This window comes from Homo sapiens, chromosome 12 (assembly GCF_000001405.40).
Source record: "Homo sapiens chromosome 12, GRCh38.p14 Primary Assembly".
Taxonomy (NCBI): Eukaryota; Metazoa; Chordata; class Mammalia; order Primates; family Hominidae; genus Homo; species Homo sapiens.
The window spans coordinates 13,180,600-13,196,296 of record NC_000012.12 but is presented as its reverse complement, the minus strand read 5'-3'; the positions used below and the strand labels follow the sequence as shown (position 1 = coordinate 13,196,296).

At 44.5% G+C, this 15,697-nt stretch overlaps 2 annotated features.

Moving 5' to 3' along the window:
• Positions 11,234-11,734: an enhancer, noted in NCBI's record as "H3K27ac hESC enhancer chr12:13337497-13337997 (GRCh37/hg19 assembly coordinates)". NCBI's record gives its function as "activates a minimal SCP1, AML or CMV promoter by ChIP-STARR-seq in primed H9 embryonic stem cells {active_cell/tissue: H9 hESC(primed)}" and the evidence as "EXISTENCE:reporter gene assay evidence [ECO:0000049][PMID:30033119]".
• Positions 11,735-12,235: an enhancer, noted in NCBI's record as "H3K27ac hESC enhancer chr12:13336996-13337496 (GRCh37/hg19 assembly coordinates)". NCBI's record gives its function as "activates a minimal SCP1, AML or CMV promoter by ChIP-STARR-seq in primed H9 embryonic stem cells {active_cell/tissue: H9 hESC(primed)}" and the evidence as "EXISTENCE:reporter gene assay evidence [ECO:0000049][PMID:30033119]".

Genomic DNA, 15,697 nt, shown 5'->3' with positions numbered 1-15,697 from the left:
CTCACTGTCAGGAATTATCAGATTCCTTTTTTTATTTACTTCCCTGCCTGACCCTGGTGCACTGTCCTGTGGGTGGCTGTACAGGGAGGCCCTGAAGGCGAAGGGGACACACTAGGAGCTCTTGCAGCCCTGCCTCTGAGTGATGGAGCACTGATTGAACAGCAGAGAATTCCTGGTCTTTCATTATGCTCTGCTAGTGCCCGTGTGGACTCTCCACATTCCAGGAGGAAGTCCTCTAGTTAAGAACTTTGCTCTCTGTAATAATCAGCTGGACCTTGTTCTACAATTGACTTTCTTGAACTTGGCCAGTAGCATAATCATCCCTACTACCTCCCTGCACCACTCCTCTCTCTCTCTCAACTCTGGAGCTGGGAGAGGCCTGTGAAGTCATCTCATCCCACAGCCCAGGCATTCCACTGGAGAGAGTAAAAGCCCAGATGCCTGAGTTCAAGCCCAGCTCTCCACAAATTTGCTGTGTGACTTTAGGCAAACCACTTAACTTCTCCATGCCTATTTTCTCATGCATAAAATGGAGATGGCAGGTATGTAACTCATAGAGCTATGATGAGAAATACACATATAGGGGCTCATGGCAGTGTGCATAGTGAGCGCTCAACAAATCTTAGCTACAAGGATTATTTTACTGAAGAAGCAGCTCAGGCCCAGAGAGGTGAAGTGACTTATTCAAGGAGATACAGTACGTTACCAGTAGCAGCTTGGATCTAGGTCAGCACATCCAAGCAATTCTATTTCTGTTATTCTCTGCTGCACCCTGACAACTTATTTCAATTCAAAATATGCGTGTGTAGTATTTATTCATTCATTCTGCCAATACAGGCTGCACGTCAGTCTTCACTGGGCCTGATTCAGAGCACTGAGTCACAGAAGTGAATGACATCCCTGCCTCTTGGAACTTATATTCCCTAAAAAGATAGAAAACAGACTGGTGGCTATTCACCAAAATGTTGATCAAATTCGATGATAAAATTATGGATGCAGTTTAGTTTGTTCTGGTCACAATTCTGTATTTTCCAAATCCTCTGCAATGAACCTATATTACTGTCTTTAGGATGTTGGCATGTGGATGGATGGATTTTAGGAAAAAATATTTTAACATGGGAATGTGGAGAATATTTTCTAAGGTGGATGATAAGGAAAACACAACACACACACACACACACACACACAATGATTTGATGATGCTGCATCTTCACAAGTCCCTGAGAACTGAATTCTATCTCTGTAAAAGTAAGAAGGTCTGGATTTTCTCACTGAAAACTGATGACGTGATAAAAGACTGCATGTTTCTCATAGAGTTCCTCACCTCTCCCCTCTCTCATTGCTCATTTGATAATAAAAATGCCTGTCTGAGAGGGGCCACTCCCAGCAGTGGGTTGAGAGTCCCTGTGATCTCTGAGCATCCCAACCCTCAGGGAGGGGAGGGTGTCTGCAGGTGAGGCCAGGAAATCCCCAGGCATGTGCTGGCGCTCCAGATGGGCCAGTCTCCCCTGCTGGAATCGGCCTGTCTCCCTGGCCTTTTCCTACTCTCAGGGTTGCCTTTCACCCCTGATGCCCTCTGCCAGTTTTAAAGTCTCTCTTCCCTCAGCTGCCTGGAAAGGAGAACTGGACTCCAGAGGAAGTGTTCTCAGATGCTGAGGAGTATGTGGTCTGATTGCATTTCTTAAAGAGAAACCTGGAGCCAAGGAATAGCAGAGGGGAGGCATTCTCCCTCCCACCTCCTTCTCGGGCTTAACAAGGGGAAAAATCAGGAACTTTTCTTAAAGTACTTGAGTAGAGGAATCCTTCAGTCTATCTGGATTTCCATGGATTTCACAAAGAGAGACGCTGGGCTCAGGGACGGGCTTCAAAACAGGACCCAGAAAGCAGGAGGCCCAGTTTCCACGCCTACTACCTGGCAGTGGCTGTGAGCGAGGCATCTGCCTGCCTCCATTTCACCTTAAAGTGAGTAGACAGCATCACCTTCCAAATGGGTCTGATAAATCTCACCTTCCTGTGTGCTTTTGGAGATGTCTAGGTTTGGAGAGAAAATATTAAATGCATTGAGCTGTGAAAACACACCCATGCACACATGCAAAAACACATGCACGCACACACACATGCACACATGCACACACAGAGTGGTGCCATAGAAAGCCAAGTTGTGTAAATATTTTTAAAAGATGAATGCAAGTCCAGGATTTCTAAAGACTTATAATTAACCCTTGAAATATCACTGAGCTTATTTTATAAAACAAAGTTATCCAGTCTGGGAAAGCAATTGGATCTGTTCTGGCTGAAGTTCTAGCTTTTTGTGCCTCTGGATGTGATTAACTCGTTAAGCCTGAGTGTTCCTTTGGCTATGAGCAGACAATTTTGAGACTACAGACAGTAAACGGTTCAGGGCCTAAAACCACATGGGGCTGGAGATACAGCTCCCCTGGCGTTTATATGGTCTTTCCAAACAATGTCGAGTAAGCTGCCTTTCTGCTCCCATTTCCCCCATTTGGAAGGTAAATTAGACACATTCATTTTCTGCATGGGCAAAGAACCGGACAAAGTTTCATTTGACCTCACTCAATAAAGCCATATATTCTTGGGAGGGAATGTCTCTCTCACCCAGTGCAAATGTTACTCCAGCAAAGGGATATTTTCCCCTTTTTCGGAAGCAACAAGAATCAACTTCTGGCACGTTGCCATTTGGGGCAGATTTTCAAGTTTGAACCGGCGTAAACATTTTAATGAATGCATGAAACGAAGGCTTTTAATGACTGATACAAGAAGTCTACTAAGGCAGGTCTGGCCCCTACAGCCCACAGAAAAGAAAACTAATAATAGCTTGAACTTGTTTTTGTTCAAACTCAGTTAACCGAAAAGAATCCCAAACTATGCAACATGTTCCCCAAAGCTATTATATGAACAGGGATGTCAATATTAATATTAGCACACACTGCTTGGAAGGTAAATAGAATGGGGGAAAAAGTTACACAGTATCTTCCCAAGTCAAAGGAATGTTTGTTCCTCACAACTCCTCTTTGAAATTTGAGAATTTACCAGAAATGTTGTATTCCTTCCCTTTCCTTTCTTTCTTTCTCCAACTCTCCTCTCTCTATTTCTCTCTCAGGCTTTCTTCTGGCTTTCTTTATGGTTTTTGGGGGTGTTTTTGTTGTTTTTTGGGTTTTTTGTTTGTTTTTGTTTGTTTTTTTGAGACGGGGTCTCGCTTTGTCACCCAGGCTGGAGTGCCGTGGTGCAAGCTCGACTTATTGCAATCTCCGCCTCCTGGACCCAAGCGGTCCTCCCACTTCAGCCTCCTGAGTAGCTAGCACTACAGGCGTGTGCCACCACACCTGGCTAATTTTTTGTTTTGCTTTGTTTTTGAGACAGAGTCTCGTTCTGTCTCCCAGGATGGTATGCAGTGGCACAATCCTGGCTCACTGAAGCCTCTGCCTCCCAGGTTCCAGCAATTCTCCCACCTCAACCACCAGAGTAGCTGGGCTCAGATAATCTGCCCAACTCAGTCTCCCAAAGTGCTGGGATTACAGGTGTGAGCCACCACACCCAGCCCATTTTCTTCTGGCTGTTATTGCTTTCTTTCTTTTTCTTTTTCTTTTTCTTTCTTTCTTTCTTTTTTTTTTTTTTTTTTTTGTGATGGAGTTTTGCCCTTGTTGCCCAGGCTGGAGTGCAATGGTGCGACTTCAGCTCACCACAACCTCTGCCTCCTAGATTCAAGCGATTCTCCTGCCTCAACCTCCCGCGTAGCTGGGATTACAGGCATGCACCACAACGCCCGGCTAATTCTGTATTTTTAGTAGAGATGGTGTTTCTCCATGTTGGTCAGGCTGGTCTCAAACTCCCAACCTCAGGTGATCCACCCGCCTTGGCCTCCCAAAGTGCTGGGATTACAGGCGTGTATTGCTTACTTTCTTAAATTCCTCTCAGTAAGATGTAATTTTAATATAGTTTCACAAAATGAGAAGTCTCTAAAATCCTCCTAGTACCCCACTTTCTGGTCTCTTAGCTAGCTGGTCCTTAAACTGCTTAGGAAAGAGAACACTGATGAAATACCAAGAGCCTTTCTAGAATATGGGCCATGGCCTGACACTTTTGGTGGAACAGAGAGGAAAGTGGCATGTGGCTAGAGAGGAGAAGTGGTGATGTCAACAATGACATCTAAACTTGCAGGAGAAATGAGCCACCCTTGCCACATTAGACAGTTACCAGATTGATACTAATTGCTGAACCCAGTTTTTTCAGGCAGTTGGGATATGCGTGACTGATCCAAATCGCTGACAAAGGGAGCTGAGCCATTTCCAGTGTGGATACAGCTTTATGGCGGGAGAAGAATAACAAGAAAATAAGTAAGAAGCAATTGTAGCCAAAATGAAAAATGAAGAGATCCTTTCTCCAGCCAATGCCAGCTGTAATACTAGAAGACAGATATTAAAGGTATACTGAATAAATGTTTTTCTTTTGTACCTTAGCTCTCCTGTTACTGAGTGCATTGTTCTTACTGCTTAATGGACCATTTCAGGTAAAGAACTGAATATTCATAAGAAATAAAGAGTGATTAGCCCTTCCTTTGCATACAGTGAGCAGCAGGTCCAGTAAGCAGATGCTGGCTACATAGTAGGCATTCAATTAAAATGTAGTACATTCAATCAATGAAGTGTCAAATAACCGAGTAATGGGATCTCGGTTCCTCAAACTCAGATGCCGCATGGTCAGAGCACCCATCTAGCTAAGCCACCATAGCTGTGGGGAAAGTAGTTAGTACATGTCTTTAAATTTGCCTGAGAAAAACTGCCATGGAAGGGGCACAAAGCCAAGTGGTCCAGCCTAAGAATCCTAAAGCACATTCCCCATGAGACTGTGTGGTCCACAAAACACACGAGACCCAGAGATGAGCCAGAGTAATCTTTGAGACCAAGTTAGCACTTTCAAAGACACAAATTGGTTCTTGGTGGAAACAAACAAATAAACAAGTACTAAGTAGAGTGACTTGATTATTCAGCCTCACTGGAAAACGGAATATGCATCCTGGTTAAATTTTAGGATAATTGGTCAATTTTTAAAAAAATATTACAGGATGAAACGAGACCTCTTTCCACCCTTTGAGACATGCACATGCACAAAAGTTGGCCTTTGCCATTCCAAACACAGATGCCAGGTCCAGCCTCTTCTTGTAGGATGATGTGTAGGGAGGAACTTCAATGCTCTTAACCTGGCAGAGTCCATGGCCACAGGATTTACAGCTATTCTTCCTTGGACAAAGCTAGATAAACTCTGACGAACACACAAAGCTAGATAAACTCTGACGAACACACAAAGCTCTCTTTTCGGGACATGTTGCTGATCAGCCCTCTTTGGTTAACATACTATGTCCTCAGCCAAATTACAGCGCTAGCCAATGCAATTGATTCAGTCTCACCTTTCCAGCTATAATTCCACTCTAGTCATGCTTGCCTGTGACTATACCCGGTCATCTTAATTAGAGGTAGGGGGTTCCTAAATCTCTCCTGCCACCCATTTGTGACTATTTTAAAGGTAGTCACCTCCACAGAAGCTCAAAGCAACCATTCCATTCATTCCAACTTTTACTCTTCAAAAGAGACTTTATCTTGAAGTTCTGGGGACATCTTAATCTACTTCCTGCACCAGCAACTTTCATTGGAAGATCCAAGGTACCATGCTCTCTGAATGGCCATCCCCTGGATTGTGTGCTGGGCAGCACTTGCCTATTATTGAGGAAAGCAACTATAAACCAACTGGGTGTGGAAATTCACTCCCACCATCCTGGGAAGCTCTGAAACTGCACATGGAGTTCCATGACCAAAAAAAGAGGAAGTCCTTTTACTGTTCGATTTCTGATTATAAAAAATAATATATTATCTTCAAACAAAATTCCAACAATGCATGGAAGTGTAAATAAAAAAGTTAAAATTATCCAAAACCGCACATCTTGGGTAATTATTATAAACATTCTTTCATATATATGTATTCATATACGCATATGAAATTTTACCCAAAACGATGTGCATGCTGCATTGACATCCATTATTATTACATACCAAAATTTATGTGTCCCTCTAGCTAAGCCCCTCAGCACCCCATGTCAATAAATGTAGATCGACATCATTATTCGTAATGACTATGTAGTATTCCACTGAGTGCATATACCATAAGGCATTTAAGCAATTCTTTATTAGTGGATAATAGATATTTATGCTGCTTCAATTGTTTGCTATGATAAACAATACCATGGTGGAACTCCTGTACGTAACATATCTGTACATGTAATGACATATTTGCCGCCTTATTAACTATTCTGTTTCCCATCCATTGGACTGGTGTACAGCACTGATCATATCACTCAATGGTGTGCAATCTTAGAAAGCTTACTTAAGCACTCCAGGTCTCAGTTTCTTCCATGGGGTCATTTCTCATGATCTTGAGGGTCCCCTCTAGTATTAATATTATATGGTCACTTTCCCAAATCTAAAAACTTAGGCGAAGCCTGTGTTAATGGATGCCAACCAGCTCTCTCTGGCCTCTTTCCTTCTCTTTTTATGTCATGAGCAATGATTGACAGTTCATATTGCTGTCCTTCTGATCTTTCATCTGAGAACATGAAGCCAAAGGAGGCTGCCTAACTTTAAAGACATAGGGCTGAGTTGTTGCCAGGAATCTGATCTTTTAAAGATCCCTTAGTTCTGGCTAAATCTCCCCAGACTACTCCATTAGCATTTTCAGTTCCAGCACATTCATTTCCCAAAATTTCAGACTCCTGGCATCATTTGAACCTCACTTTATGCCTCAATTCCCACAGCTCAGCATGTGACTCTAGTCAGTTCCACAGGCTGGAGCCCACACAGAGCTCTGCAGGGCAGCAGGAGGTATGCTAGTGAATTGTCCCTAATGAGCTTATAGTTCCCTATATCCTGGTATGGTGGGGTTCCTTCAGCACCCTGGGTGCAGTGAAACAGGCAAGTCTATGCTGGTGGAGCCCCTGCCAAGGAATTTCCAGCCTTGGTGCAGAAGCAAGAAAGTGCAAGGTCCCTCCTAGCTGGTGGCAAGGCCACAGCTGCACAGATTCCTCAGCCCAGTGCTGGCTGATTGATGGGCAGGACAGGGGGTCGCTCACTGGGTAATGGCTGTTGGACTGTCCTTGGCCACAGAGGGACAACCCTTGGAGTAGCCCCAAAGATCCAGGTCCAGATTAATGTAGGCTTTAGGAGGGAAGCCTGCTAAAAGTAAAAATAATAATCACAACAGCAGCAAAAAACAACTTCTACTTGCATAGCATCTTATGCACACACACTGCTCCTATTCCAACCTTTTAAAAAAATCTTACTGGGCAGGTAAAATCAAGGCTCAGGGAAGCCTACTTGCTTGATCGAAGCCACAGATCTATTAAAGAACAGCATCTAAGTTTCTTAGAGTTTTTAACTCTTTGTTTGCTGTTAACTTTTCTCTTTCCTTTACAATGCTTGCCTTTTCGTGGCTCCTGGAAGCTATGAAGTGTCTGCCATAGATCAAGGATGGTACAAATAGATGAAGAAATTGCAGATATGAGGATTGGTTTTTTTTTTAACTACTGCTGTTGGTAGCAATCCGAGCCAGAGCTTCCTAGACCTTCACAGAGCAGCTTATGACTCCGAGAGGTCTCTGCACCCCTGTTGTTTGAGCAGGGCACTCACCCAGCCCAAATGACCCCTGCAATGGCCTCTTGGCTCCTCATCCCCAGGTTATCTTTGCATCCCAGGTGACCTGGTGAAAACCAACCTCCCCAGAAAAGTTTTCTTGAGTATCCTGCTCTGCCAAATCCATACCAGTGTACCAGCTCAAGCCTGAGTTCCAGGCCCCTTTTGGGTCTATCTGAACACTTTCCCGTAGGAAGGACTTTTAGCTGAGGACAGAGAACAAAAGACCACAAGGGCTTTATGACAGAAGGTGTGCATCTGGTGAGTAGATCCATGGGAAGGATAAAGGGTCTGGTTTAAGGATACAGTTAAATTATCTTATCAGAAGAACATAAATTGTTTTCAGAGTATATAGAGGAACGGTGATATTTAGAACTTGGGCAAAGTATTTAAGGTTTTGTTTGGTACAGTGGAGATTTCAACAGCCAAGGTAAAGAGCTGCCATGCTGCAGACAATTCATATTAGGGGAACAGAATGGACAGCCTCAGATGATGGGGAACACAGCCTCACTTGAGAGGGGACTGGTGGGAACATTCTTCTGGCTGGGAGGGGGCCACACATCTGTGCACATCCCAAAAGAGCAACACAGAAATAAACATGAACAAATCATTTAGGCTGCAGGAAAGCAAGGCTGCATGAGGGTAAGAGCCCTTCTTTGTTCACGAATGCAACCCAAACACCTAGAACAGTGCCTGGCACATGATGGGTGCCCAACAAATGTGTGTTCAATGAATGAAGCAAAACCTTGCCCAGGTTTGAATAAAGAATGTGTGGCACTCTCAGACAGGAGGTGGAGTGATGAACTGCACAGGGTGTCTTCCTCCTAATTAATCCACCATATGATAATCATAATACCTGAAAGAAAGCAGATCATTCTCCACAACAGCAATGAGTAATCTAAACAAACAAGCCCAGGTTCACCTTGCAAATATTGCAACACCTAAGATGGATGACAAGTGGGCAGGGACCCAGGAAAGAAATGGACGTTGACAGTAACGCCAGCATCTGCTACACTCTCAGCAGTATACACATGTATGCCAAGTATCTTAAAAGAGGATACGGGGAATGCATGACCTCAAGAAAGGAATGTGTCATATGAGTGAGCAAGCTGTCTGGACTCTTAACGTGTCATGAAACTAAAAGCATCACAGAGCAGTGGTATCAGATCACAGAACAACCTGGGCTGTAGCTAAAACCCAACTCAACAAATCCAAAATCCAATGTGTGCCCCTCTCTCTCACACCTGCACTTCTCCTGCATCAGCAGAGCCTTCCCTAACACCCTGCTGCTTCAGACTAGGGTGGGTGCTCTTCCTACATGCCCCCAAATCTCTCAACAGACCTTATCTTTCAACAGACCTTCTCAGTAGATTCAGAGCTTCTTCACAGCAAGGTATCGTGTCTTATTCCTTGTGGTAGCTCTGCTCCTCAGGCCATATCTTGGATATAGTAGGTACTCAATAAATAATTGTCCAAAAATTAAATGAATGAATGGCTCCATCATCTACCAGGTCAACCTTTACTCCTCCCTCTCCCACTCTCCACATTCAAAGTCAACTAATATTATTTAATCTACTTAAAATCTATCTCAGGCCTGACCCCTCCACTTCCTCCCTATGCTGTGGCCTATGCTCCAGTCTTCTTCCTCTGTCTAGACTGTTACAATGGGCTCCTGACACTGAGCCCCTTGCCTCTGAGCTCTCTCTATTCCAATCCATCCTCCATGTCAGCAGTAGCAAACTTGCAGCCCACACACATAGTTTGTTTGGTCCTGAAAGTGTTCTAAAAAAGGAATCTGAATTAGTCTCCTATATTTTAAAATCAGGACATTTCAAATAAAATTTTGCTTTGCCAAACATCCCCTCCTTCTCGCTTGGCCTGCTTGCCTCATTTGCCTTATGGGCCTGGCCCCCTGTAGGCACTGAGTTTGTGGCACCAGAGTATCTAGATGAAACACAGACCCAATCAGATCGGATCACATGACTGCTATCTAACTTTGCTGGGAAGATAAACTCACGCAAGGCCCATGGCACACTGGCCCCACCCCCCTTTCAGGCCTATGCCCTCCTCCCTCCTTGCATCCACCCTGCACCTTGAGTGAGCTAGGCACCTTTACACCTCTGAGGTGTTGCTCAAGCTCTGTTCTCTAGCTTGAGTGCTTGCCCTGTGCTGCGGTGGTTGAGAGAATGAGCTGGAATCGGACTGCCTAGGTGCAAATCCTCCCTAAGCCTTCATTTCCTCATCTATAAAATGGGCCTAATACCAGTTGATGCCTTATAGAGTTATTGAAAGTAGCAAATGAATAATATCTCTGAAGTTCTTAACACAGGGCCTGGCACATAGCAAAGACTTAACCAGTGATCCTGTTGATGTTGTTGTCTCTGCCCTTCTTTCCCTAAAGAAATGCTGTTCTACCTCCACAGCCAGTCTCAATGTCACCTCCTCTGTGGGGCCATCTCTTCCTTCCACCTCGCCCTAGGCACAATGAGTAACCCCACCCCAGGAGCTGGCTTGTTCTGGCCACACCTCTGGGATGCCACTTACCACCCTGTCGCACCTTCAGCTCCCCTGTGTCCATCCTTCTGTGCACCACTTGCTCCCTAAGGGCTGAGCTGGGCATCTTTGAACTCCCAGTACCTGGACACCTTAGGTACTGCGTGTTTCTTGAATGAGTTGCATTGGATGCCAAGGCAGAAACATTCGGAGAGTTAAATGGCATTTTCCCTCAGTTTTATGCACCAAAGAATGTTCATGTGATACCATTTGCCACCTGAGTGTAGTCAGTGAGAGACAAAAGGCAAAGGATAAATTCATAGCACAGGCTATGCCATTTAATCACATGACGTCTGCTTCTCTGCCTCAGTTTCCTCATCAATCATCTGGAGAAAACAATGTCTTTCCAAGCTCAGTGGAACATAGGAGGACCCAGCAAGGGCAACATAGATGAAAACATTTTACAAATTACAAAACCTCCATTTCAGCACCTGGTGCAATCTTTGACCTTTATTTAATTAGGAAAATTTGAAGATATAAAAATGAATTTCTTAAAGGACCTGGATTGCTAACATACAGCTAAAAAGTGTGGAGGGTGAAAAAGGGAGGAATTCACCCCCTTCAAAACAAATACAAAAACCCACCATGGGACTTCACTGAGAATGCTATGCTTGGTTGGAATCCCAGCTTTGTCACTTTGAAGGACTCTGGGCAAATTCTTTTCTGTTTGTAATTTTTGTAGATTTAGGGAGCACAAATGCAGTTTATTACATGGATGTATTTCACAGCAGTGAAGCTGGGCATTTAGTGAGACCATCACCCAAACAGTGCATATTGTGCCCATTGAGTAATTCCTCATCCCTCATTGCCTTCCCACCCTCCGCCTTCTGAGTCTCCAGTGTCCATTATTCCACTCTCCATGTCCAATTCTGGCCATATTCTTGAACTTTCTGAGCCTCAACTTCTTTATCTGTAAAGTGAAGATAATGAAATCTATCCCAGGAAGTTGATAGGAAGACGAAATGACATGACATATGTAAAGACCTTGAAGAATACCTGCCGCTGAGGCTCCCAATACTGTTGTTTGTAGACTGTTTGTTATAACCAATAGGCATTAGATGTAAACAAATAGAGATACTAGTTTGAACTAAATATGACAATGCTATGAGAACAAATGCAGTCTATGTATTTTCTGATTTGAGATGGAGGGCAAGTGAGTGTCGAGAGCTGTCTCCCCCAATCAAGCCCTCTGCAGCCTGCTTCTAGCTCACTGTCCTGGATCCTCTCATTGCTTCCTAGCCTGTCTCTCCTCTCCAGCTGCCCTGTCCTGGTTGATCTCCCCTGCTCTCGGAGTGGTTTTCTAAAACTACTAAGTCTTTCCTCTGTAGCAAGCTATTCAATGGCACCCCATTGCTTTTAGGATATGGACCCACTATTTGGCCAGCACACAAGGCCTTCCCTGGTCTGACTGTCCCTGTCTCTCAGGCCCACCAGCCTGTCACCCTCTTCTCCCTGCCTTTTGTCCCAGCCATACTGAACTCTCTCTGTGCCTGAGCCTGAAACCTCCAAGCATTCCATGTCCTGCCTGATGAAATGCCCTTCTGCCTGGCCTGCTCTCCCTTGCCTGGCCTAGTCTACAAGACTCAGCCTGGCCACCAGCATCCCCAGGAAGACACCCGCAGCCCTAGTGTGAATCTGATGCCCCTCCGGGGAGCTCCCACAGCCTCTAAGTACACCTGAGTTTACCAATATTCACTTTTCTGTCTCCCTGTTTCCAAGAGACAGCAAGATCCTGAAGGCAGGAATGATCTTTTGTCTCTAAACCCTCACCAATGGCCAGCCATGCTTAAACATAGTGCGTGCTTTATTATTTTTATTGAACAAAATCGATTTATACATGAATGAAAGATTGTGAAAATGGATTGGTTGTAACATTAGTGCACTATAAATATGTTTATCTCCTTATCCTACTCGCCCCAAAAGATCACACATCTACCCATCCTTGGTAACCTACTTTGATAGACATAAACAAGTCAAAAATTAAACACTGGTGGATGCTAAGGCAGTACTGCACTGTGTTCAAGCTCACAGCCATTGGTGTGAGCCAGTCTCAATGTCACCTCCTCTGTGGGGCCATTTCATCCTTCCACCTCACCCTAGGCAGAATGAGTAACCCCACCCCAGGAGTCCTCCTTCTTACTAACTGTGAGGCTGAGGCATATCACATAACCTCTCTGAGGCTTCATTTCCTTCCCTGCAAAACAAATATGAGTACATGTATCATAAAGTTTTTATAAGATGAGATAATGTGTGTAAAGCACAGTGCCTAGCATGTAATAAGTGTTCAATAAACCTTAAAAATAGATTGTTAAAAAGTCCTAGTTACTGCCTTGTTGATCAATGAATCATCAAGTATTTGAATGCCTGCCCATTCAGCCTATGGGAAGTCAAGAGAAATCTTCATCAGCAATGGACACAGAATTGTGCATGTGAAGAGCCTGGCTTGTCCCTTGTGCTCAAAGGGAGACCAGAGCTCAGTGATGAGCATGACATTGCAAAGTGACTTAAACACTCAAGAAGCCGATGTAAGATTTGCAGCAGGACCTGGTCTTCCTGCCACCCAGAGTGTGAGCCTCTAGCACACACCATGGACTTTTCATTTGCTCCGAAACACTCGGCTCTCTGCAGCCCCATGTTTCTTTTCTCAATCTTCCGAGGGCCTTCTATCCTTCTTAACTCGCTGACCACAGGATTCCCCCAGGTCTTATCCAGACCAGTTTTAAATGCCTGAAACTTCTTACAGCTTCACCATCAGGTTGATCAGGTTTTTTATCATAAGCTTTTGAGCACTCACATGGTGAACTGTCAAGATCAATAAGAAGGAAAGAGATAGTGCATGGGAAAGCAGAAGTCTCAGTGCCAGCTCTCCCCAGGTCCCCTCCTGAGTGACACTCCCCAGGGAAGGATGGATGGACAACCTATGATGCTGGTGAGCTAGCACCTTCTGGTAGGAAGGTTCACAGGAGTTCATGGCCCGGAGGCTGATGCCAGATTCAGACCTACATCTTGGTCAGCCCCACCTGCCTCCTCCCCACCTCTTCTCCACTCTTCTTCCCCAGGACTTGCCCCAAACCCTCAAAGTACTCCACCTTGGTGCCCCAGGTCAGAGCATGCATCCAACCACACCTCCCAAGTGTGGTGGACAGGGGTGCATTATTTAGCCTCTCTTTGTGCCTGATTTAGTCATTGACCCGAGGCTGGCAGTTCTACAGTGAAATACAAGTTTGACTGATGTTAGCACCCTTCAGACTTATGACAGATTTCACAATTGTCGGCTCGTCATTTTGTTTCACATAGTTATGTGGTATCATGATAACAGTAATCATGGGTATGACTTGCTGAGCTCTTAATGTGTGCCTAATAACAACCCTGTAAAAAGTAATAATAATAAGGTAATATTCTCAACTAACAGATGAGAAAATTAGCACACCAGGTCACAAGGTTAGAAAGCGGCTGAGCAACTCTCAACCCCATGTCCCCCTGGGTGAGGGCAGAGCCACTGCCCTCCCACCCAGGCTACCTCCCCGGTGGACATTGCTAAGCAATCCTCGTGCTGCCTCCCAGTCCCCAATGCTGTGATGGGGACTGCCGGACATCCCTGGGAAAAGTCCAAGTGCTGATGTATCCACCCAAAGGGTATAAGTAGGCAATAGAATTGTTTTTCTTGAAACTGTGTAATATATAAGACACAGAGCAGAGAAAACATTTATTGGATTATACAAATTTCAAGGTAATCATATCAATTCTGTCCCTCTTATCCCTTCTTCTTACTAGATAAAGCCTTTCCGACTTTCAAGGGTGTGGATATAGCCTCAGCCTCTGCATGAATGTCCTCTGCTTATTTCCCAATTTACCACTCTACGATTGTCCTTTTCCAGCCTGAACCATGCAGTTTCAGTACTTGTATCTTTCGTGTTTCGACTCAAATGTCACTGTCTCAGGAAGAACTTTTCCAGTCACCTATCCTAAAATTGCAACCCTTCCCCAACACTTCCTATCCCCCTTTGCCACTTTATTTTTCTGCTTACCTGTTATCCATTATCCAGCATTAGCCAGCATATGGCATATACCCCACTTATTATTCCACCTGCTCCCCCAACTAGAGCATGAGCTCCTGACAGCAGGCATTTCTTTATGCTATTTCACAGCTGCCCTCCCCGGAGCAGTGTCTGGTAGGCACTCAGGACTTCCTGGCTGAATGCTTTGCATGTCTTGTCTCCAGTTTGCTTCAGCTGAGTTCATTCTCTCTCCTTAACTATAAAGTCCTCAAAGATGGCAAACAGCTCTTATATCTCTTCTGTATCCCCACAACACTTCAGGAGGTGCTAGGCACACAGAACTTATTTTTAAAACTCTTGCCCAATGAGTGGCAAGGCTGGGTGCAGTGGCTCATGCCTGTAATTCCAGCACTTTGGGAGGCTTACTTGAGGCCAGGAGTTAAACACCAGCCTCGGCAACATAGCAAGACCCTATCTCTAGAAAAAAAAATTTAATAGCTGGGTGTGCTGACTCATGCCTGTAGTCCCAGCTACTTGGGAGGCTGAGGTGGAAGGATCACTTGAGCCCAAGAGTCCGAGGCTGTAGTGAGCCATGAGTACATCACTGCACTCAAGCCTGGATGACAGGGTGAGACCCTGTCTCAAAAAAAAAAAAAAAAGCAAATTAAAAATTAAGGACCATAAACCTATTTAGAGGGATGTGGATCTTTTCATCACTGTGAATTTACCTCTGCTTTGGAGGATTTTAATCTGCATGGCAGGGGGTGGAGCAAGGTTCTTCATTGTAAAAACTGATCTCTCTTTTATTCAACATGATTAACTGTTGGAGACCCTCAAGTACTGTTGCGGGAAGTCTGGGACCCCAAACGGAGGGACCAGCTGAAGCCATGGCAGAAGAACGTGGATTGTGAAGATTTCATGGACATTTACTAGTTCCCCAAATTAATACTTTTGTAATTTCTTATGCCTGTCTTTACTGCAATCTCTAAACATAAATTGTAAAGATTTCATGGACACTTATCACTTCCCCAGTCAATACCCTTGTGATTTCCTACACCTGTCTTTACTTTAATCTGTTAATCCTGTCAGCTGAGGAGGAAGTATATCGCCTCAGGACCCTGTAATATTTGCATTAACTGCACAAATTGTACAGCATGTGTGTTTGAGCAATATGAAATGTGGGCACCTTGAAAAAAGAACAGGATAACAGCAATTGTTCAGGGAATAAGAGAGATAACCTTAAACTCTGATCGCCGGTGAGCCAGGCAGAACAGAGCCATATTTCTCTTCTTTCAAAAGCAAATGGGAGAAATATCGCTGAATTCTTTTTCTCAGCATGGAACATCCCTGAGAAAGAGAACACGCACCCGGAGGTATAGGCTTATAAACAGCCCCCCCAGGTGTGCCTGTCTCTTATGGTCAAGACTGCAGAGGTGAAATAGACTCCAG